This window comes from Homo sapiens, chromosome 7 (genome assembly GCF_000001405.40).
Source record: "Homo sapiens chromosome 7, GRCh38.p14 Primary Assembly".
Taxonomy (NCBI): Eukaryota; Metazoa; Chordata; class Mammalia; order Primates; family Hominidae; genus Homo; species Homo sapiens.
This window is the reverse complement of record NC_000007.14, coordinates 7,144,261-7,169,370: the sequence shown is the minus strand read 5'-3', so window position 1 is coordinate 7,169,370 and position 25,110 is coordinate 7,144,261. Positions and strand designations below refer to the sequence as shown.

Below are 25,110 nucleotides of genomic sequence, written 5' to 3'. Positions count from 1 at the left end.
ATATACACCCCAAATAACTGAAAACAGAGACTCAAGAGATATTTGTACATGAACGTTTGTTGTGACCTTCTTCATAATAGCCAAAAGGTGGAAACAACCCAAGTGTTCATCAACCAAGAAATGGATAAACAAAATATTTTATACACATACAGTGGGATATTATTCAGCCATGAAAAAAATCAAGTTTTGATATATGCTACTACATGGATGAGCCTTGAAAACATTATACTAAGTGAAATAAGCCAGAGAAATGACAAAGTATTGTATAATTCCACTTATATGAAATATCTAGAAGAGGCAAATTTATAGAGACAGAAAATAGGTTAAAGGTGGAGGGGATAAGGGAGTGTTATTGCTTAATGGTTATTGAATTTGTTTTGGGTGCTGGAAAAGCTTCATTAACAGATAGTGGTGGTGTTTGCACAATAGCATGTATGCAATTAATGCCACTGAACTGTACCCTTAAAATGGTTAAAATGTCATACTTTGTGTTGTGTATATGTTATCATAATAAAAAAAGAAATGATTCGGTGTATATTTTTAAATTACGGTGTTTTGCTGAAGACAGGAATAATGTTGGCAGAAAAGGCAAATGTATTGCTTCCTTTTTTAGAGACTTTAATTATTTGTAGGTAGACAATATTCTTACAGGTAATTAAAGTATGCTTAGTTGTCTTTTTAAAAATACCACATTTTAGTTCATTTGAAAAGGAACTGAGTAATCTTGATAGATTATCATACACCTAGTTGATGAAATATTTTGTAACCACGAAAATGGTAACTGTTAAGAGTTATCATTAACAGGAAAAATAGGAGAAGATTGCTGGAAGTAATCTCTCTGCTATACCTATTAGGTTTGTTGTCTCAGCTGGGGCCTGACGGCTTTCCTTTTACTTTTCCAATTAGTTCTCTTTCCCATTTCCCATGAAAGTTACTTGAATCAATATTCACACTCCTTTATTTCCTTCACTTTTATTCTCACCAGGTGGTATTTTTTAAGATAATATACCTCAACTCCTTCTCTTCTACCTGCAAACTTCCCTCAGTAGCAGCTTCTGAAGTGTTGTCTCCTCCTGCTCTAGGCTGGCCTTCCAGCCGTACTCTGCTTTGGAGACCAGCCCCTCCCTCCTCTTCAGCACTTGCCTCAGCAACTAACCTGCATCTTTTCTAAATTTCCAATTTCTGTCATGCCCCTGACTTCTATATCCCATTACCTTACCACCCTCTACAACTGCTGCACACTTCTTTCCTTTGCATTATCACTAGGTTTTTTGAAACAGCAGTCTGCATTCACCATCTCTACTTACCTATTCATGAATTTGTTCATTCCCCTGTGAAATGTGGAGAACATGCTTCTTTATAGATGGCATCAGAATTTCTCTAAGAAAGAACAGTGTCTTTCTTTGAAAGAAAATTTAAAACCTTGAAAAAAATGGAGTAGAAGGTAAGATTCTTAGGATTCCATAAGGCCGAAGCTAACCAAGCCTTCAGAGACAAGGACTAAGCTGCTCATTCTGAGTCTAGGAGAATGTTTTTGCTGCTTCATAGGAGTAGGAAAAGAGAGGGTGAGAAAAGAGGAGAAACAACAGTCTCAGGAGAATAAGGGACTGGGCGCTGTGAGAAGAGGCCTGGGGGTAGTAGGCCAAGAAAAGAGCTGTAGTATCAGGGGGTCCAAATTTTGGTGAATTGGAATGTCCAAGGACAATCTTATAAGATGTCAGCATACCACAGATTCTGCTTGAAAAGACCCTCTCAATGATTATCACTTGGAGAAAAAAAAAATGAACAACAAAAAAAACTTACATAATTCCATGAAATGGCATCTTGATTGGACATATTAAAGATGTATTACTCTTAACAGTATTCTTTAGAAAATAAACATGGGAGATTTATCATTGTTTATATATTTTATAAATTTACATGTAGTTTAAATATGTGATGTGTAATGTGCAGTATAACATTTTTAATACATAATGTATAACATTCTTAATACACTATTTTATCCAGGAAAGCAAATGTTTCATAAAGAGTAAGTCAGTTAATCTCAATGAATGCTGTTCTCCCAATATTATGTCTAGTTTGGATTGCCATTCGGGGCAAACTCCTGAGAAACAGGACCTGTTGCTCTCAATTTATCTGTACACTGCATAAGCAATTTCATTGCTGTTTAGCCAGTAGGGATCTGAAAAAGGAGCAGAGATAGAATCTGAAGGAGTATAGGTAAAGAATATGCAGCTGAACCACTGGTCTTCCTCCCTGGCCCAGAGTGACTTTTCCAGACCCTGGGGTAATACAGAGGAGCATTTATGTGGAATACTCTGAGCCTGGTGTCCAATCAGGGCATGCCCTCCTCAATTCAAATCATAAAATTTGTCATGGCTTAGCACAGTTTAGTGGAAAGATCTTGGTCTTTGAAGTAAGATTGATGTGTTTGAATTCCAGCTGTAAATAAAAAGGACTAACATGATTAGTTAAAGTGGAGAAAGCTCTAAGAAGGAAGAACTCAGTCTAGGACTCCTTGTATAACTACTGCGGCATGCTTACTATTGTATTACACAGTGTGCTAAGCACTTGCCTTACTGATTTAATGTTTACACCAACCCTCTGTGGTAGGCATTAGCAACTCCATTTAACTGATTTTTAAAAAATGTAGTCTTAGAGATTAAGCAATTTGTAAATAGTATAACACGGATTTCAACCCGGTTGTTTTTAACTGCTTTATTGAGGTATAATTGACATTCAATAAGTATACATAAAGTGCATAATTTGATGTTGTGACATATGTATACACCCATGAAACTATCACCGCAGTCAAGATAATGAATGTATCTATCACCTCCAAAAGTTTCCTCCTGCCACTTCCCACCCTGCCCCATCTCCAAGCAACCACTGATCTGCTTTCTGTCAATAGAGATTAGTTTGCATTTTCTAGAGTTATAAAAATGATATCATACATTATGTGCTTTTTCATATCTGGTTTTATTCACTGGCATTGTTACTTTGAAATTAAACCATATTGTTATGTTTATCAATAGTTTATTACTTTTTATTGTTCAGTAATATTCTATTATAAGAATATACCACAATTTTTGTATTCATTCAAATACTGAAGGACATTTAATCCAATTGTTTCTCACCCTAAACCTGTGCTACACTCTCTTCCCAGTTCCATCACTTATTGTGTGGGCTTAGGAAACCTAATTATTCTCCCTGAGTCTTGGTTTTTCTCATGATAAAATGGCAGTAATATACGTTTTTTTCACATGGTTGTTATCAGTAAATGAGAGAACGTGAACACGCCTGGTACAGGTGTCCCTTATCTCAAGTGCCTGGGACCAGAAGTATTTTGGACTTCAGAGTTTTTGAACTTTTGGAATATTTGCATATACATAATGAAATATCTCTGGGATGGGACCCAAGTCTAAACATGAAATGTATGTTTCATATGCACCTTATACACATAACCTGATGGTAATTTTATACAATATTTTCAAAAATTTTGTGCATGAAATGAGTTTTTCTATTTTGACTGTGACTCATCACATAACATTAGGTGTGGAATTTTCCACTCGTAGCATCATGTTGATGCTCAAAAAGCTTTGGATTTTAGACCATTTCAGATTTTGGGTTTTTGGATTACAGATGCTCAACTGGTACCATGTGATCATAAATTGGTGCTTACAACTATTCATTTTTTTTTCTCCTGAAAGGGAACATATCGGAGAAGGAAATGAGAAAAGATATAGCAGTACATGCCTTTCTGGACTCTTTCTTCCTGTCTTGAAAGCTTTGAATTCTTGCATCTAGAGCTTCCTACACTGAAACGTCCTCTTAATCTTTCTCACTTTGATTTCTCCTACACCTGTCTCATCTGCACCCCATGGATATGATGTTTGTCTTTTCTCTTTAATCCAAATATGGACACAATTTTTTTCTTATTCCCTTAGCGTAACTGAAATAGAGTGATGCATTCACAAAAATTAAAGGATAAATTAAATGGGTATAATTATGTAAAAGGAAGCAATGGAAAAATAGTCAAGGCTCCTAGATGCGTGCTTTATTCCACATAATCCCACCACAGTGAGTAAAGGGGCTTTATTTAGTTCCATATCTGCTTGCACAAGGATCACCATCTTCTAACACAGATGGGTGGGCACAACCTGGCCTGAGCTCCTTCCTAACCTGCCTTCTGTCTTTCAGTTATCTGGCCATCTTCTCTTCCTGGCTACTGTGGTTTCTAGTTCTGTTCACATAAAAATGCCAGACCAACCTTTTATTCTAAATTCAAACTTCTCAGGCACTGTTTGGTCCTTCTCTGAGGCTTTCAAATCTAAAAGAAACACATAAATGAATAAAGTTGACAGGCAAGGTTAATCTTTCCTAGGGTTTCTAGGGCATTTTACTCACCCTACACATCTTAAATAATACAAAATAATATTTACATGCAATCAAAGGCAGCAAACCCAAGGTGAACACTGTAATGGTTTGCCCTGTTCCTCCTTCAGGACAGAAAGATTTATTTCCACAACTATTGGGAGTGCTGCCAGCAGATGACCTTCAGCTTACAGCCCTCTCAGGGAACTGCCTCAGGTGCAAACAACTTAAAGCCATGCCCCCTCAGGCACCCACATCCAATGACTGATCAACATAGGGGTATTAAAAATAGAGCTTTCCTTCCCTGACCTGTGATACTCTTTAGGGCCATTCCACCTTCAGAGTTCCTCGTCGGGTTGACTGAGGACTTTAAGACTATATCACAGCTCAACTTTTCCCACTGTCCAATCCTGCTTCTGTCTCTTTCCATGCACAGGTGCTGATCTTAAAAGTCTTCCCTAATAAACTTTCTACATGCTGATCTCCATTTCAGAGTCTGTTTTCTGGAAAACCCAGCCTATGGCAAAATGTAAAGCAAGAGGAGAGCTGTATCCCAATCCTCCTGAAATCCAAGCTCCTTTTTAGGTATCTCAGATCAATAGGTTATAGAATTTGACTTACTTCTGCTTACTTAGAGTTAGCTCTTCATACATCATAGACCCGTTAACATTAATGTTCCACATGAGAAATGAAGAAAGGTGTAAGGAAGGGATCCAGTTTCAGCTTTCTACATATGGCTAGCCAGTTTCCCCAGCACCATTTATTAAATAGGGAATCCTTTCCCCATTGCTTGTTTTTCTCAGGTTTGTCAAAGATCAGATAGTTGTAGATATACGGTGTTATTTCTGAGGGCTCTGTTCTGTTCCATTGATCTATATCTCTGTTCTGGTACCAGTACCATGCTGTTTTGGTCACTGTAGCCTTGTAGTATAGTTTGAAGTCAGGTAGCATGATGCCTCCAGCTTAGTTCTTTTGGCTTAGGATTGACTTGGCGATGCGGGCTCTTTTTTGGTTCCATATGAACTTTAAAGTAGTTTTTTCCAATTCTGTGAAGAAAGTCATTGGTAGCTTGATGGGGATGGCATTGAATCTATAAATTACCTTGGGCAGTATGGCCATTTTCACGATATTGATTCTTCCTACCCATGAGCATGGAATGTTCTTCCATTTGTTTGTATCCTCTTTTATTTCCTTGAGCAGTGGTTTGTAGTTCTCCTTGAGGAGGTCCTTCACGTCCCTTGTAAGTTGGATTCCTAGGTATTTTATTCTCTTTGAAGCAATTGTGAATGAGAGTTCACTCATGGTTTGGCTCTCTGTTTGTCTGTTATTGGTGTATAAGAATGCTTGTGATTTTTGTACATGGATTTTGTATCCTGAGACTTTGCTGAAGTTGCTTATCAGCTTAAGGAGATTTTGGGCTGAGACAATGGGGTTTTCTAGATATACAATCATGTCATCTGCAAACAGGAACAATTTGACTTCCCCTTTTCCTAATTGAATACCCTTTATTTCCTTCTCCTGCCTAATTGCCCTGGCCAGAACTTCCAACAATATGTTGAATAGGAGTGGTGAGAGAGGGCATCCCTGTCTTGTGCCAGTTTTCAAAGGGAATGCTTCCAGTTTTTGCCCATTGAGTATGATATTGGCTGTGGGTTTGTCATAGATAGCTCTTATTATTTTGAGATACATCCCATCAATACTTTATACAAAAATTAATTCAAGATGGATTAAAGACTTAAACGTTAGACCTAAAACCATAAAAACCCTAGAAGAAAAGCTAGGCATTACCATTCAGGACATAGGAACGGGCAAGGACTTCATGTCTAAAACACCAAAAGCAATGGCAACAGAAGCCAAAATTGACAAATGGGATCTAATTAAACTAAAGAGCTTCTGCACAGCAAAAGAAACTATCATCAGAGTGAACAGGCAACCTACAGAATGGGAGAAAATTTTCACAACCTACTCATCTGACAAAGGGCTAATATCCAGAATCTGCAATGAACTCAAACAAATTTACAAGAAAAAACAAACAACCCCATCAAAAAGTGGGCGAAGGACATGAACAGACACTTCTCAAAAGAAGACATTTATGCAGCCAAAAAACACATGAAAAAATGCTCACCATCGCTGGCCATCAGAGAAATGCAAATCAAAACCACAATGAGATACCATCTCACACCAGTTAGAATGGCAATCATTAAAAAGTCAGGAAACAACAGGTTCCGGAGAGGATGTGGAGAAATAGGAACACTTTTACACTGTTGGTGGGACTGTAAACTAGTTCAACCATTGTGGAAGTCAGTGTGGCGATTCCTCAGGGATCTAGAACTAGAAATACCATTTGACCCAGCCATCCCATTACTGGGTATATACCCAAAAGACTATAAATCATGCTGCTATAAAGACACATGCACATGTATGTTTATTGTGGCACTATTCACAATAGCAAAGACTTGGAACCAACCCAAATGTCCAACAATGATAGACTGGATTAAGAAAATGTGGCACATATACACCATGGAATACCATGCAGCCATAAAAAATGATGAGTTCATGTCCTTTGTAGGGACATGGATGAAATTGGAAATCATCATTCTCAGTAAACTATCGCAAGGACAAAAAACCAAACACCACATGTTCTCACTCATAGATGGGAATTGAACAATGAGAACACATGGACACAGGAAAGGGAACATCACACTCTGGGGACTGTTGTGGGGTGGGGGGAGGGGGGAGGGATAGCATTAGGAGATATACCTAATGCTACATGACAAGTTAATGGGTGCAGCACACCAGCATGGCACATGTATACATATGTAACTAACCTGCACATTGTGCACATGTACCCTAAAACTTAAAGAATAATAATAATAAAATAAAATTTAAAAAAAGAAAAATAGCTAATAAAAAAAAAGAAAAAAAAAAAGAAATGAAGAAAGATAAATCCAGTGCAACCTATCAGGCCTGTTCACAAATGAGGCCATAATCATTTCACCATGCTGATCAATGACAATTGCTAAAGTTTTTGAACTGTTCACATTTAATGAGAGAGTAGAATTTTGAAGTACTTTCAGTAAGTCAGCCCTCTTTCTGACCTCTTTATGACTGTCTTTGCCTTAAGGTAAACTTCAATAGAATCTTCTGCACTTGCACACATATTTTAAGGATACTTGAAATAGCACCTACCATAGAAAATATGGAAAGTATTCATGTTTTCCTATATTTCTAATTTTTTTAATACCATTGTGACACAATCTGATAGAGTATGAAGTATTAGAAAACATGTATTTTAATCCTGGCTCTACTATTTACTAACTACTATCTACTATTTTCTGAGCCTCATGGTCCTCAACTTTGTAAAAGGAAGATGATGATGCCTGTCTTTTCTAGTGGTTGTGCTGGTTAAAGGGGAGGATGTTTGCAAAGGGTCTAACATGTAGTAAGTATTCAATAAATGGTAGTTATTTTTATCAGCAACTCTTATAATAAAAAGTGGACTGACAAAAATTTTAAAACTAAGTATCTTTTTAACAAGTACTTCATTTATTGCCACATTTTTTAGTCCCTTGGCAACAAATTTTGGCTAGCAAATGTAAAGTTATTCACTGTAAATATGTTTATACTAAAATGTTAGTGATTTTCATCCAAGGGGCAATTACCTTTAAAGTAAAGAAGTTAGACTAAGTGAGTTGTAAGGTTTTTTTTCCCACTGTTAAAGCCTCACAAGTTTATAGATTTGGATGATCTCCCCAAAATAGAAGCAAACGTTTCTGAGAATTTGAGTCTGTCTTTGGTAAGGATGGTTACATGTCAATAGAGCTATGGTTCCAAGTCCTCTTGACAAGTAGTTTACTTGCAAACTATTCAGTTTGTCTTAGTCTGTCATATCATTGTGCAAAATACATGTCAGTACACAAGTAGTCAGTAATTTTGTGTAGTAATGACTACACAAGTAGTCATTATTATAAACTGGAAGTTACTGCCTATTATTCTGTCTTAGATTTCAGTTGCATAAATTCTATTTAAGTTGATTGTAAATTATGGCTCATTGTTTTCTCTCAATACTCATTACTTCTGCTGATTAGTACTGTGTTTGTGTGTATAGTTCTAAGGTTTTTTTCAGCTATAGTTCCAAGTCCTCTTGACCAGTAGTCTACTGGCAAATAATTCAGACAGCTTTCCCTCTGTCATCTGTTAACATTAGTCCTGGGGACTGGTTTCTCTGATAAAATTCCTGCAGCTACTTCATACCTTTGGACATGTACTTCGACACACGCCCTCTATTTCATCTTTTGTGTACCCAGGAATGAGTTGCATGTATGTGTCCATCCTTTGGAACCAACCTTACTTCTGTCTTGAACTGAACTTGACTTCTCTTTTACTGAATGGATTTAGGTTAGCAGACACATAGACAATTTTTATTTTCCTCCCCTTCTAAATATCTGTCTCTGCATCTATCTTCCTACTTCCTAAGAAGAGCAGTGTAGCCTCCTTTCTCATGAGAAACAGGGTAACATTTTGTCTTCCCGCCTGTTCTACATCAACTGCTTAATATATGTATTAGAACACTGTCAATCAAGGTAACATTATCTGTCCCCTTGTACATCAGACTTTTGTCAAGGATATACCTGATTAGTCAAATGGCAGGGATTAGGGGTTGGAGGTAGAAGGTGGAGGTTCAAGAGAGAAATAACACTCTATACAGTTGAAGACCAAAAAGATCTAGATGGAAGGTAAAGGTCATATGCAGAAATGGAATAGAAAGAATTTTCCAGAGTTGAGAAGAAACAGATCTCTAGTTCCATGAGGCTATTGGAACGTGTACCCAATATAAAATGTGGAAAGGTACTAGGGACAAGAAGGACACACATGTGGGGCAGGAAAGAGCTGAGGGAAAGAGTAAGAATCAGGAAATTTAACTAGTTTTACTTATGTATGAACAGCCGTTCACAGTGTTGCTGCCATTGATCTTTGAAGTGCAGACATATCCCTCAATTTATGAACATGGATTGGTGCAAAGCTCCCTAGGATGTGAGAAAGGAAATGAAAAGAGATGCTGTGCTCCAGTTTACCAAGCTCGGAGCTGATAGCTGAAAGGCCAGTTCCCTTTTCTTCCATTACATGTTAAGTATGTTTTTATGAACTGTAGTGATACTCTGTGTAACAGTGTTTCTATAGGAAAATGCCCTCTTTGAATTGAATCACATTAAAATGAATTTTTTGAATATAGCTTACATGGAGACAGAGAATTTTTTTAACTTTGCTAACATTATCTAAAGATTGCAGATAAAGAAAATCTACGTGTAAAAATAGTGACTTTCCAAAGGCATTACTATCAAATTAAGCGAAAATTAGAATTCATACACCTTCATTTAGTCTGTAAGAGTCCTGTTTCTATTGAGCCTCTGGGGAACCTTTTGCCTTGAAGAGATTATTGGGGAAAGGGGACAAGAAGGAAGGAAACAAATCAGCGCAGTCCAACACACCACTTTCTTTCCTTTCTCTTTCTCTTCCGCTTTGCATTTCTATTTCTGTTCCACTCTATTTCCTCCTCCCCCTCCTCTTCCTGTTTTCTTTCTTTCCTTCTTTTTCTTTGCTTCCTAGTCTTTTACTGCTCTTGGTATTTGTCCCGCGTCTTTCCAATCTCTTCCTTTTTATTTTTTAGTTCTACTTTTTATATCTGACCCTCCTAGTAGAGAAAAGGTGGTCAATATTACAGTCGTTCAAAAATAAAAATTAAGTACTTAACTCTTTCTGGCTCTGTGCCAAGCATTGTAAAAAGAAAATTACATAGACAGTTTCTGACCTCCAAAAGCATACAATCATTTGAGTCCCAGCTGTGATTTTATAACACCTTCATGATTCTTGACTTTTTTTTCCTGTTTCTAAGTCCCATTAAAAATCTGGTGATAGCAATGAATTGCTTCACTCCAAAAATGCATAAGTCACAAACATGCCCTATTTGCATATAATTTCAGAAGATTCAAAAACTCCCTGAACCCCTTAATAGTTTATGACCGCCCTCAGATCAAGAACCCTGCTCGTTGTCTCAATATATTTCACAAATGTCACACAGTTTGAGATAGAATGCCTTAAAACACAGTTAATTTTAATTCATTAAGAAAATCAATAGGCCGTCTAACAGCCATTTTGTGTGTTTGGGTAGGCAAAAAGGGAAAGAAATGTTATCTAATTACAAGTAGGTCATAACATTATCCAAAAGGAACAAACACTTATTTGACCACCTATTACATGTCATATATGCGTATATGAGTCCTACATGATACAGCTTTTATAAAATTATAGATGAAATATATATGTATATATACATATACATGCATACATATATAAATAGATACATGTGTATATACCTGTACATTTATACAAATGTTTATATAATATATAAATATATAAAAATGTATGTGTATATAATATGTAAAATATAATGAAAAAACATACTAAGTGTTTACAATAGCTATGTTATATAGGAATCGTTATACTCAGATATGGAAATTAAGACTCAGAGAGATCAAACAGCTGACTCGGGCCACGTGCTAGTGAACAGTAGAATCAGAATTTGAGTCCACATCAAACTCCAATGCCTTCTTGGAGACTTATTTTTCCTTTCTATTCAACATAAAACTCAGCACATAGGAGGTGTTAATGGAATACTGGAATGCTGATTGAATTAGACAGAACAGAGTCAGGTATAGAGCCCTGCAGTAGATCACTGGAGACTAGAGACCACTCTTCCTAACCCCACCCTAACCTCCCATTTAATTTCTTTTCTTTAGCAGAAAGGAAGGGACATTCTAACAGGTTCTAAAGACTAGAGTGGACTCTACAAAACTTCAGAGGGATATAGTAATTTTACTGTATTCATCAGAGAAATATTTCAGCTGTGGTCATGTGAGGGTAACAGGCTTGAATACACCAATTTTCATGTGAAAGGAATGTACTGCTAAGTTAATGCAACAGCAACTTGAGGAAACTACTTTTGATTTAGCAAGTTATCTGAACATTAAAGGAGGCATTCTGACTGAGGTTCCTGAAATATAAAGAACAATTTGAAACATGCCTGGGAGGAAAATACAGCAATTTTAGCAAAAAGACAGTTCTCAAATAAAGTCTGATTTTAAAGGAAAAGAGATCTCATTGATTGAAGGAATTGTTCAGAATGTACATGTACATACCCTTACTGAGGCTAGCTAATGAAGAAACTGAAATTTGAAGTTTGGTGGTAAAGAAAATGAAAGCAATATAAGAATGTTGGCAACTGTGAGATAGAGGTTGATTATACTTCAAAAGAGTATCTTTAGGGAAGCTAATAGACACCTAACTAAGTTGAACAGAAACTATATTGAAATAAATATAATCTTAGAAGCCAGTCAAGACAGTAGAGCAACACGGAATCAGTGCCTTGATTGATAGATTCATGATTTAAAAATAAACCCATCTTGACTTCAAGTCAGGGCAAGGTTATGGTGTACAGTTTCTTAATTTCCCCAAATCCATTCCTAAAAGCATACTGAACCAACTAGAATAGCAAAAGATAAGTTCTACTCACCACATCCTCCAGAAAGCCAACTGAAAAAACATCCCCATGAGCCTCAGAATGCCAGTGGGTTTTGCCCCACCCAAACCACAGACAACAGCAGTAGAACTCATACAGAGCATGCCTAGTTTTAGCAGCTGTGCAGAGGCAGTGGACAGGAGAGAACAAGAGTTTAGAAGGTTCTGCGAACACTGCAATACAGAAATTGTCCACAAATACTCAAAAAGAGAAGGTCTTACCTTGAGTGGGATTCTCAGCAAGTAAATATTGTGAAAATAACAGTAAAAAGGAGAAGGCTTCTGACTCCAATTTATGGCTGAGTAGAATAAAAATATCTCAGCCACACACTAAGAGAAAATGGGAAGATCAGAAGGTACTGGGTGGCTTATGTACTCAAATAACTCAGAAATAGCCAATAAAATATCTTTCCTGAGGAAAACACTTCCGTGAAGAAAATTCAAATTGAGCAGGATAGAAACTCTGAGAGTAAATCCAATATTTTGACGACCTTACAATGCCTTTGTTGTTTGTTGAGAGAAAAAGATCAAACACTGGGAGGTCAGGTGGGTCTCCAGAGAAGGCACATCTCTGGAAGTGGGTGTGACGACACAAAGGCCATCCACGTCTACATGTGTATCTTAATCTGTCTGCTATGTGATAATAATAGGGGAGGAATCTCTTAAGCACTGAAACTATAAAGGCTATCATAGCATATCCCATTTCCCTTCAAGGGAGGCATTTCCTAAAAGTACAGAACACCTGATTTTGTTTATACAAAAGCAACAGAAAGGAGATGGTCGAACACAAAACAAGTACACTATTATAAAGAAAATAAACTAAATAATGAAAAAATGGGTAGTTAATATGTACCAGAAAAGACATAATTTAAAAAAATGAAAACTAAATAATATAACAAAATTAATGGAAGCAAATTAAGAAAATAATGGAAACTATAAAGTAACAGCATATATTAGAACCAGGAAACTCAGAGACGAGATGGCTAAACATGAATTGGGGACTGATATAATTCAGAACTGGAGTTGAGTCACTGGTCCATTTCCAATTTATCCTTTTTCATAAAATGTGGTCTCTTGTGGTCCCAATTGAAAGCCTAGTGTTTTCGTGTTTCGGTTTTTGTTTTATTTTAGATCTCATCCTCCTTGTGCAGCTCAGAACTCCAATTTTCCCCTCAACTCCTTGAGTCTATTGAAAGTTTTGTTCAAATTCTCATCCTTTCAGCCATTGTTCTCAAATAGGCAAATGCCTCAAGACTAAAAGCAATGGCACATGTCAGGCTCAGCTCTCTGGGGTTCCCTTTTCTTCTGGATCCTGGCCCCATAAGTCCTCACTACATGAGTGGTTTTTCAATACCTTCAAATTGTTCTAAAACAACCTAGTTCACTATTTTCAGAAACAAGACTTGGGAAATACAATTTACAAAGGAGGAAAAGAAAACAGAAAGAAAGAAATAGAAAGGATCCGAGAGAAAAATGATAAATATAGAAGACAGGAAACGAAAATCCAACATAAGTGTAACTTATGTTGGAAGGAAAATGAAAGCAACGGAACAAAGGAAATACAAAAATCCATAATACAACAAGACGTTCTTAAAATTATAAAAAAACTGAACACCTATTTTGAAAGAGCACACCATTAACCTTGGAAAAGTGGAGCCAGAATGGCCAATACCAAGACATATTCCAGTATAACTGGAAAATAAAAAAACTCTTTGAACATTCAGGCATAAAGACCAAGTCATCAAAAATAAAATCATAAATAAAATCATATTTACATCAGATTTCATAAGTCCATGGAGCAATATATTTATTAAAAAGAAAAAAGTAGGCTGGGTGCAGTGGCTCATGCCTGTAATCCCAACACTTTGGGAGGCCAAGGGAGGGCAGATCACGAGGTCAGGAGTTTGAGATCAGTCTGGCCAACATAGTGAAAACCCATCTCTACTAAAAATACAAAAATTAGCCAGGTGTGGTGGTGCGTGCCTGTAATCCCAGCTACTAGGGAGGCTGAGGCAGGAGAATAGCATGAACCCGGGAGGCGGAGGTTGCAGTAAGCTGAGATCGTGCCATTGCACTCCAGACCAGGCAACAGTGCGAGACTCTGTCTCAAAAAAAAAAAAAAAAAGAAATTTTTATGCATACCCAAACTTACGTTAAAATATAAAAGCTACGGAAAAATAAAGCAATTGTGAGCATACAAGAACTGAATGAATATTATTCCCTAAGAAATATACAGAGAAAACAAGCTTCAACCAAAAAATCACAGGAAATGCTTCAGCTAAGTTCTAGACACGTAATAGCTTGCCAATAAATATTATTCGATCAAAGAGATAGATGTATGAATGCATGGATGGAGGAATAAACTAATTAATAAATTAATTAATACCTGGGAAGGAAAAGAAAAGATCTACCCATGTGTATTAGTCCATTTTCACACTGCTTCCCTGAGACTGGGAAGAAAAAGAAATTTAGGTGGACTTACAGTTCCACATGGCTAGGGAGGCCTCAAAATCATGGCGGGAGGAGGAAGGCACTTCTTACATGGCAGCAGCAAGAGAAAATGAGGAAGAGTCAAAAGCGGAAGCCTCTGATAAACCCATTAGATCTCATGAGACTTATTCAGTATCACGAGAATAGCACGGGAAAGACTGGCCTCTGTGATTCAACTACCTCCTTTTGGGTCCCTCCCACAACACACAGGAATTCTGGGAGGTACAATTCAAGTTGAGATTTGGGTGGGGACACAGCCAAACCATGTCATTCTGCCCCTGGCCCCTCCAAATCTCATGTCCTCACATTTCAACACCAATCATGCCTTCCAACAGTCCCCCAAAGTCTTAGCTTGTTTCAGCATTGACCCAAAAGTCCACAGTCCAAAGTCTCATCTGAGATAAGGCAAGTCCCTTCTGCTTGTAAGCCTGTAAAATCAAAAGCAAACTAGTTACTTCCTAGATGCAGTGGAGGTACAGGTATTGAGTAAATACAGCCATTCCAACTGGGAGATATTGGCCAAAACAAAGTGGTTACAGGGCCCACGCAAGTCTGAAATCCAGTAGGGCAGTCAAATTTTAAAGCCCCAAAATGATCTCCTTTGACTTCATCTCTCACATCCAGGTCATGCTGATGCAAAAGGTAGGTTCCCATGGTCTTGGGCAGCTCCACTCCTGTGGCTTTGCAGGGTACAGCCTCCCTCCTGGCTGCTTTCACGGTCTGGCATTGAGTTTCTGTGGCTTTTCCAGGTGCACAGTGCAAGCTGTTGGGTAGATCTACCATTCTGGGGTCTGGAAGACAATGGTCCTCTTCTCATTGCTCCACTAGGCAGTTCCCCAGTAGGGACTCTGTGTGGGGGCTCCAACCCCACATTTCTCTTCTGCACTGCCCTAGCAGAGGTTCTCCATGAGGGCCCCGCCTTTGCAGAAAACTTTTGCCTGGGCATCCAGGCATTTCCATATATCTTCTGAAATCTAGGCAGAGGTTCACAAGTTCCTTATCTCCATCTGAGACACAGCCAAACCATATCACCATGTTACTGGTTACCACAGAACTAGGAATGTGAAGTCAATGAATATTAGTTCTGGGAAAGAAATTCTAGATTAAGTACATTTACACCTTCACATTTTAGATAGGTAAACTGTGTCTCAGCGTGACTTGTCCAACATGCCCAGATGGCCCATGGCAGAGCCAGAAAATGGATCCAGAATTTTCTGATGCTTAGTGAGGATCTCTTTAAAAATTTGGTCACTGGCTGACTGAGCTCGGTGGCTCACACCTGTAATCCTAGCACTTTGGGAGGCCAAGATAGGTGGGTCACTTGAGGTCAGGAGTTCAAAAGCAGCCTGGCTAACATGGTGAAACTCCATCTCTACTAGAAATACAAAAATTAGCCAGGCATGGTGGCACACACCTGTAATTCCACCTACTTGGGAGGCTGAGGCATGAGAATTGCTTGAACCTGGGAGGCAGATATTGCAGTGAGCTGAGGTCGTGCCACTGCACTCCAGCCTGGACAACAGAGCGAGACTCCATTTCAAAAAGATCGCAAAAACAAACAAACAGAAAAACAAAACTTGGTAACCAGCAAAATATAACCGTTAAGTATTGTTACTCACTCCCCTCTCTGGCCCCCGAATAAATAAATCCTGCTCCCTATCTCAGAGTAAAATGTTTCTTGAGTGCCAGGCCATGATTTGTTTCATTAAGTATTAAAATTTACAAAAACAATTTATGTTTACTCTGGAAAAGTTAGAAAAAAATCTTTATTTATAATCCTGTCGCTCAGAGATAACTACTATGTTATACATATTTTTGTTGTTACCTTTTAAGACATTTTTATTCTTTGAACAAATGCACACTCATGTTTAAAACAAAAATAGAATCATATGGTCATATTCTTTTGCAGTCTTTTTCTCTAAATATATCATAATCATCCTTCATTTTCAATAAATATAGAACTAAATCACATACACACAAACTTTAAAATGAATTTTATATCAATGAAAATGTAAATTTTAATATTACCTTATATTTTATTTTCCTGAGCATTTCATGATTTCAATTCATTCAATGTCATTTATAAATAGTTTAGCTTTTATGTGTCCTTAATTTATGTTTTCCCATTATATTTGGTTGACATAAATTTTAAGCTTGCCAAGATGATCACTTGTATCTCCTTGGTACCTGTTTAAACCTGGAGGCAGTGTTATCTGATAGGGTTTTCCCTTTGTGGGGGAAGAAGTGGGAAAATATGAGAGAGGAGGAGAGAGTCACCATGTCCAGCCAGTTCTTATACTTTTAAATAGTTGAGGGAAAGAAAAGAATTTTGAAATAATAAATCTTTGCATAATAAGACTAGAGTATTATAGAGGCCAGGTGGCCAGGCGCGGTGGCTCACGCGTATAATCCCAGCACTTTGGGAGGCCTAGGCGGGTGGATCACCTGAGTTCAGGCATGCGAGACGAGCCTGACCAACAAGGTGAAACCCCATCTTTACTAAAAAATACAAAAATTAGCCAGGCATGGTGGCAGGTGCCTGTAATCCCAGCTACTTGATAGGCTGAGGCAGGAGAGTCGCTTGAACCCGGGAGGCGGAGGTTGCAGTGAGCCGAGATCATGCCATTGCACGCCAGCCTGGGTGACACAGCAAGACTGTCTCAAAAAGAAAGAAAAGAAAAGAAATACAGGCCAGGTATAGTGTACAGTGGCTCATACCTGTAACCCCATCCCTTTGGGAGGCCAAGGTGAGAGGACTGTTTGGGGCCAGGAGTTTGAGACCAGTCTGGGTAACATAGTGAGGTCTTTCTCTATAAAAAAGTTAAAAATCAAAAAATTAGCCAGACCACACCACTGCACTCCAGCCTGGGCAACAGAGTGAGACCGTCTCTTTAAAAAGATGGGAAGGGAAGTGTAGGGGAGGGGAGAGGAAGTGAGGGGGGTAGTGGGGGAGGGGAGGGGAGGAGACAAAAATTATGTTAAAAGCAGAAAATTTCCCTAATGAGGGTAGGTTATTTCTTTAGGAAATTGGAATCTATAATGTAGCAGTTGAGAGTTCTGGGGCCAAATTCCTCTGCAGGCCTCCTTAAGAACATATACCTTGGGGGGATATTGTGATCAAATTATGTAATGTTTGCAAAGTGCTTAACATAGTTGTTGAGAAGTTTCAATAAGTGTTAGCTCTGTTGCTCCTATGGTTGTTGATATTATTATCATTACTATTATCTCATGAAAGAGATATAAATGCCCCATTTATCCCATATCCTGACTTCCCTTGGGTATTTATATAATAGCTTTCGTCACTGTCAAATTTCACCCACTTACAGGTGATTGGCTTTTCCGTTTATACCACTCTATTTCTCTTGGTGTTAAAAACCCCACCCTTTTTTTCAGGGGTTTTTTTTTGAAAGGGAGAGTGTCCAGTGACGGCCCACTTCCTCTTGGAACACTGGTTAACATCTTTTTGACAGATTTTTGGACTGTCTTCTTGGCTTTGTATTCTGGTTCAGTGGCTACCAGCCACTGTATGTATATACATATGCTGTATGTGTGTATATATATATACACACACACACATATATATACATATATAAAATATGTATATATACATGTATATATATGTGTATATATGTATATATATATAATTATTGTTGTTTTTGTCATTAAATATCTTTGGCTTTTGGCTCTGCAGCCCAAAGTTCAGTCCTGTTCTACCCTGCATTCTGGCTTCCACAATCATTGCCTGCATTTCACTTATCAGGACTTGTTTAATTAGGATCAGAAAAGAGGCTGGGTCATTAAGTAGAATAAACAAGGGTTTTGGAGTTATACAGACCTGGGTTCAAATCCCATACTAGTGATTGCTGGTTTTGTAACTTGAATCTGTTACAAGATCTCTCTGTGAGGCAATTTTATTAGTAGTAAAATGGATAAGATAATGCCCATCTCAGCAGGGTTTGTTGATGATGAAATATTAATAGCATAATGGATATGTGTGGCATAAATACCCCTCAATGTTAGTTTTAACTTATGTTTTATGTATTTAAATTTGAATATGCTTAAATTTACACCTTTCCTTCCTTCAGGAACTATTAAATATAATTCAAAGGAAATACAGTTCCTTAAAAAACTATATTTAAATTTGTATGGGTTTATACCTTTCTTTCCTTCCTTTGAATTATTGCAGATCAAAGATTGCAACAGAAATATGCATGACAGTGATTTCAAATTTCTTTTCCAGCCACATTTGAATAGCAAAGATTATCATTTTCTAGCTAATATATCACCATTATGTAGGTGAGTCTCTGTTACCTTGTTTTTTACCACTCCTCAGGCAATTGCTTTTCTTGGAACCATTTGTTTCCATGTACTTGACCTTGGCTTACTTTCCGGCTTTATTACTTATCGTAACTATTAGTTTGTTTTATTACCTTTAATTAAGTTGTATTAGGCACCTGTAAATGGTGATGACCTTGTTTTTTGGTGGGCCAAGTTTCACCTTTACTGATTGAGGCAATTCAGTCCATTCATTTTGCCCTTTATGGCACTTCTGTCTCCATATTTCTCTCAGAAGAAATGCCAATTAAAAATATATTTTAGTAAAATGAGCATTTTAATTAGCATATATATTTTTAAAGTAGAAATTATTGGCTGGGCATGGTAGCTCACACCTGTAATCCCAGCACTTTGGGAGGCCAAGGTGGGTGGATCATGAGGTCAGGAGTTCGAGACCAGCCTGACCAACATGGTGAAACCCCATCTCTACTAAAAATACAAAAATTAGCCCAGCATGGTGGCATGCGCCTGTAATTGCAGCTACTCAGGAGGCTGAGGCAGAAGAATCACTTGAACCCGGGAGGCAGAGGTTGCAGTGAGCAGAGATCGTGCCACTGTATTCCAGCTTGGGTGACAGAGCAAGACTCTGTCTCAAAAAATAAAAGTAGAAATTATTGATTCTTTAGTTAGTAAAAAGCTCATTTATCTTGTAGCCTTCAACTAACTTTTGTGTTTAAGAAACCAACATGTAGGCTGGAAGGAGTGGCTCATACCAGTAACCCCAGTCCTTTGGGAGGCTGAGGCAGGAGGATCACTTGAGCCCAGGAGTTCAAGACCAGCCTGGGTAACAAAGTAAGGCCCCATCCCTGCTAAGAAAAAATTAAAATTTTTATTTTAAAATTTAAAATTTAAATTTACAATGCCAATTTAAAATTTAAAATGCCAGTTAAAATAATTTTAAAATATTTAAAAAAGAAGCCAACCTGCTAGATTTGTCACATAAGCCTCCATATACTCCTGTGATATAGCTATATAATTTGATTGATTAAACATGGCTTCCTGATCATCTCATAGGCCCTTGGTCAAAAACAAATCTTCCCTCATTATTATTTATTTAAAAACTGGATTCAATGATTTTATTTTGACTTCTAGCACTGTTTCAATTTCCTCCAGTATTCAAATAACAGGATTAGCAAGGTGGTGACCTGCTACAGAAGGGAGGGGCTGGTGACTGTAAGAGACTAATGGTAGGCATTTGCGCCCATGTGCGCACATACACGCACGCACACACACACACAGTACAGGTATTGAGATAGGATAAAAGAAGGTCTTTGTTCTTTAGAGTTTCTTAATTCCAGAGCCTTTTACCCTCCATGTAGGATAAACTGGCTTTTCTAAGTTCTGGGAGCTTTCTCAAAGGTAGTGGAATTCTGTTTTCGGAGAAACGGGAGAACTTTTTGTGCCCAAGGGTCTAAAGGAGAGGGGGTGGGGTCCTGGGGATTCGCATGAGGCCCAGGAAGTGTCAGGATCTGGGTACAATGAAAAGAACTCTTGTGAGTGAGTATTACTTCATACCCCATGTGATGGCCAGATAAGGAGGCCTACCCAGCCCTGTGTTCCTGAGGCTGCTTGTGGGAGTGGAGAGATGTCACCCCATCAGGCAGGCTGCCATTCTGGTCTCCTTCACCTCCCAGGCATTCCAGGAGGAGAATTCTGAGCAGTTGTATGTTTTCTTGTCAGGTTCTTTAATTCCACTTGTCTTAAGGACCTGTCACACCCTAGCCTACTCACCAGCAAACACACTGGAGACTCATGCTCACCAGAGACTACTGACAGCTGTGGTAATCATGCAATGCAGATCTCTTGAGTACTTAATACAGTCTTTTCTCAGTATTTGAGGGGGATTGGTTCTAGAACCACTGCAGGATACCAAAATTTCTAGATGCTCAAGACCCTTATATAAAATGGCATAGTATTTGCATGTAACCCTCATACATCCTCCTGTATATTTTAAATAATCTCTATATTACTTGTAATACCTAGTGCAATGTAAATGCTATGTAAATAATTATAATACTATATTTACATTATTTTTATTGTACTGTTATTTTGAACTTTTTCCTTAATATTTTTAATCATGGTTGGTAGAATTCATGGATGTGGAACCCACAGATACAGAAGATTAGCTGTATAGGCCAGGCTTTTGATCTGGGGTTAGACCTTTGAAGCAGGAGAACAAAAATTCCTTCCTTTATAAAGCTTAAATTTTGGTGGGTGGGGAGAGTAACACCATAAACAATCACGAGGTCAGATAGTGATAAGTGCAATGGAGAAAAAAAAAAAAGCAGAGAGTGCTGCAAGCAGGAGCTGTAATGTTAAATAGGGTGGTCACTGAGAAATGCACATTTGAAGAAAAACCTAAAAGAGGTTACAAAGAAAAACATGTGACCATCTCAGGGACAAGCATTTATAGCAGAGGGAGTAACAAGTTCAAAGGCCCAGAGGGGCCTATATCCTGTATTTTGGGAGAACAGTGAGATAAGTGAGGCTGAAGATGCATGAAGGAAGAAGAGATTTGAAATAGGTGAAGTACCTGAGAATCATGTAGGGCCTTGTAGGCCTGTGAAAGGACTTCAACTTTGCACTGAGTGAGATGAGGAGACATTGGAGGGTTTTGAGCTGAGGGGTGACATGATCTGACTCTCTTTGTGGTGGGGCAAAATCAGAAGCAATGATATCAATTGGGAGGCTATCGCAAAAGGTAATATAACTTGGACTAGGTTGGCTCCAAAGGAAGGGATGAGAAGTCATTGACTTCTGGATATATTTTGAGGGCACAGTCATCAGCATTTGCTGATAGATCAAATGTGGGGTATATGAGAGCAGGAGGCGTCAAAGATGATTCCAAGCTTTTGACCTACACAACTGGAGAGATTTTATTTATTACTGAGATGGGGGAACTTAGAAAGGAACATATTTCAGGAAAGATTACAAATTTGTTTTAGGCACATTAAGTTGAGATGCCTATTAGACATGCAGTTGAAGATGTCAAGTGGGTAGATGAATTTGTAAATATGGGGTTCACAAGAGAAGCCTATGCTAGAAACATAAACTGAGGAGTCATCAGTGAATAGATGGTATTTAAAGCCATATGTAGTACTAAATCCACATATGGGACTTTGGGGCAGAGTAGAGCACACTGGTACATATCAGACTGAGGATAACAGGGTGAGGGCACTCATCTGACATTAATGCTGCTTCAGTCCAAATACTGTAATGAAATTCGAATACTTCCTATAAGAAATTCTTAATGACAATTGTACTACTCATTAGAATCTCAGTTTTCACCAGGGATGATCCAAATGCCCAAGGGGACTAAAAAATAATACTGAATATGATTAAAGGAGAGGAGATAAACTCTTTGCAATGATAACAGGAGTTTGTGCAGAATCTCAGTGCAGGCTTGATGGAGAATCCAGTAGGTTCTGTGGGCCCCATGTGAACCAGAATGAGGGTGTAAACTGCTGCCCGCAATAGTAATTATCCACGACATAGAACCCATGAGGAACAGTTCTCAGAATACTCACTGCCACAGCCAATCTCCAGGTCCAAAGAAGAGGGAAGTGGTGGTCTATGATATATGTGGTCAACCCAGCCTCTTCCTACTCAAAAGAACCAGCATGATGTACCTCAAAAAGATCTTTCCAACTGGTTCCCACTGATGCCAAGAATACGATTGCTTTGTAAATTTGACCATAAGGTTGAGGAAGATGCTTACAATTGGTTATTAGCATGGACTTAAATGTGTGGTTTGCCTGTCAGTTGTTCTTAGAAAAGCATTTGTAAAATTGTAAACTAGCTACAGGCCAGGCCAATGAGGAAAGTCATTGAGGTACCCTACCTGCATCAGTAAGAGAGCAATGTAATTTTATTAAGGTGATTTGGGCTTATGTTATCAAGCTACAAGACATTTTTAATCAAAGGAACTTTTTAAGCAAACAGCCTTCTTTTGGATAATGGTAATACGTCCTGGGTTCAGAGTCACTGATTGCTTTCATATATGTAGCTAAAACATTTCCTATAAGAGTTGATAATGTAGTTGATACAAAAGAAAAATGAAAGACTTTTGATAAAGAAAGATAAAAATGTGTATGATTTGTCATTGTTGCCATTGAGCCTACCATTCAGGCAGGTAAAGCAGCTCAGATAGGCAGCATCTTTAATGGCCCACAATGCAAACTGCAAAACCTTCTCAGCAGAAAACAATTAGCTCATGTCAAAAGAAAAAAGTACAATCAATTTAGATAAAGATCTTAACTGAGATATTTATTGGTTTAACTGGCTTCATTTGCAATTCTAGAATAGGACGACACTTCGTTCCATAAAATAAGTGTTCCACTGAGATGTGCAGAAGGGTTTGGTTTTACACACAGAAAGGGATGAAGAAAACAGAAACAAAGAACAAAATGCAGTCATTTTAAAGTTACTTTTATTATAAGACAGGAATAGGGAGACAGAAAAATAGAAATATAACTGACTGACATCAGCTTACTGCAGGCGACTTTTTTTTTTTTTGAGACCAAGGCTTTGTCACCCAGGCTGGAGAGCAGTGGCACGATCTTGGCTCACTGCAAGCTCTGCCTCCTGGGTTCACGCCATTCTGCTGCCTCAGCCTCCCAAGTAGCTGGGACTACAGGCGCCTGCCAGCACGCCTAGCTAATTTTTTTTGTATTTTTAGTAGAGATGGAGTTTCACCGTGTTAGCCAGGATGGTCTCGATCTCCTGACCTCGTGATCCACCTGCCTCAGCCTGCCAAAGTGCTGGGATTACAGGTGTGAGCCACCGCACCTGGCTGCAGGTGACTTTTTGTTGTGAAGATTAAAACAGAGGGAACGTCAGGAAAACATTGAAGATGGCTGAATAGGAACAGCTCCAGTCTGCAACTCCCGGCATGATTGTTGCAGAAGATGGGTGATTTCTGCATTTCCAACTGAGGTACCTGGTTCATCTCACTGGGACTGGTTGGACAGTGGGTGCAGCCCACAGAGGCGAGCCGAAGCAGAGCGGGGCATCACCTCACCTGGGAAGCACAAGGGGTTGGGGGATTTCCCTTTCCTAGCCAAGGGAAGCCGTGACAGACTCTACCGGGAAAATTGGACACTGCCACCCAAATACTGCACTTTTCCAATGGTCTTAGCAAATGGCACACCAGGAGATTATATCCTGTGCCTGGTTCAGTGGGTCCCACACCCACAGAGCCTTGCTCACTGCTAGCACAGCAGTCTGAGATGAAACTGCAAGGAGGCAGCCTGGCTGGGGGAGGGGCAGCCACCATTGCTGAGGATTGAATAGGTAAACAAAGCAGCTGGAAAGCTCGAACTGGGTGGAGCCCACTGCAGCTCAACAAGGCCTACCTGCCTCTGTAGACTCCACCTCTGGGGCAGGGCATAGCTGAAAAAAAGACAGCAGAAACTTCTGCAGACTTAAACGTCCCTGTCTGACAGCTCTGAAGAGAGCAGTGCTTCTCTCAGCACAGTGTTTGAGCTCTGAGAATGGACAGACTGCATCCTCAAGTGGGTCCCTGAACCCTGTATAGCCTAACTGGGAGACACCTCCCAGTAAGGGCTGACTGACACCTCATACAGCCAAGTGCCCCTCACAGACAAAGCTTCCAGAGGAAGGATCAGGCAGCAATATTTGCTGTCCTGCAATATTGCTGTTCTGTGGCCTCTGCTGATGATACCCAGGCAAACAGGGTCTGGAGTGGACCTCCAGCATACTCCAACAGACGTGCAGCTGAGGGACGTGACTGTTAGAAGGAAAACTAACAAACAGAAAGGAATAGCATCAACATCAACAAAAAGGACATCTGCACCGAAACCCCATTTGTAGGTCACCATCATCAAAGACCAAAGGTAGATAAAACCACAAAGATGGGGAGAATCCAGAGCAGAAAAGCTGAAAATTCTAAAAACCAGAGCACCTCTTTTCCTCCAAAGGATCGCAGCTCCTCACCAGCAATGGAACAAAGCTGGATGGAGAATGACTTTGACGAATTTACAGAATTAAGCTTCAGAAGGTCGGTAATAACAAACTTCTCCAAGCTAAAGGAGGATGCTTGAACCCATTGCAAGGAAGCTAAAAACCTTGAAAAAAGATTAGACAAATGGCTAACTAGAATAAACAGTATGGAGAAGTCCTTAAATGACCTGATGGAGCTGAAAACAATGGCACGAGAACTATGTGATGTAGGCATAAGCTTCAGTAGTTGATTTGATCAAGTGGATGAAAGGGTATCAGTGATTGAGATCAAATTAATGAAATGAAGTGAGAAGAGAAGTTTAGAGAAAAACAAGTAAAAAGAAATGAAAAAAGCCTCCAAGAAATATGGGACTA

The 25,110-nt window shown here is 38.8% G+C and overlaps 1 protein-coding gene across 2 annotated transcripts in view, besides 1 other annotated feature; it reads right to left on the bottom strand.

The window, feature by feature from the left end:
• The window catches only part of C1GALT1 (core 1 synthase, glycoprotein-N-acetylgalactosamine 3-beta-galactosyltransferase 1), a 91,240-nt gene extending 79,246 nt beyond the window's left edge, over positions 1-11,994 (bottom strand). For both annotated transcript variants that reach the window (XM_047420620.1, XM_047420623.1), the window contains exon 1: positions 11,945-11,994. The gene's annotated coding sequence lies outside the window, so the exon portion shown is untranslated. The remainder of the gene's footprint in view (positions 1-11,944) is intronic.
• Positions 20,105-20,582: a transcriptional cis regulatory region, noted in NCBI's record as "candidate enhancer chr7.924 targeted for multiplex CRISPR interference". NCBI's record gives its function as "positively regulates C1GALT1 gene expression with high confidence in K562 cells {active_cell/tissue: K562}" and the evidence as "EXISTENCE:mutant phenotype evidence [ECO:0000015][PMID:30612741]".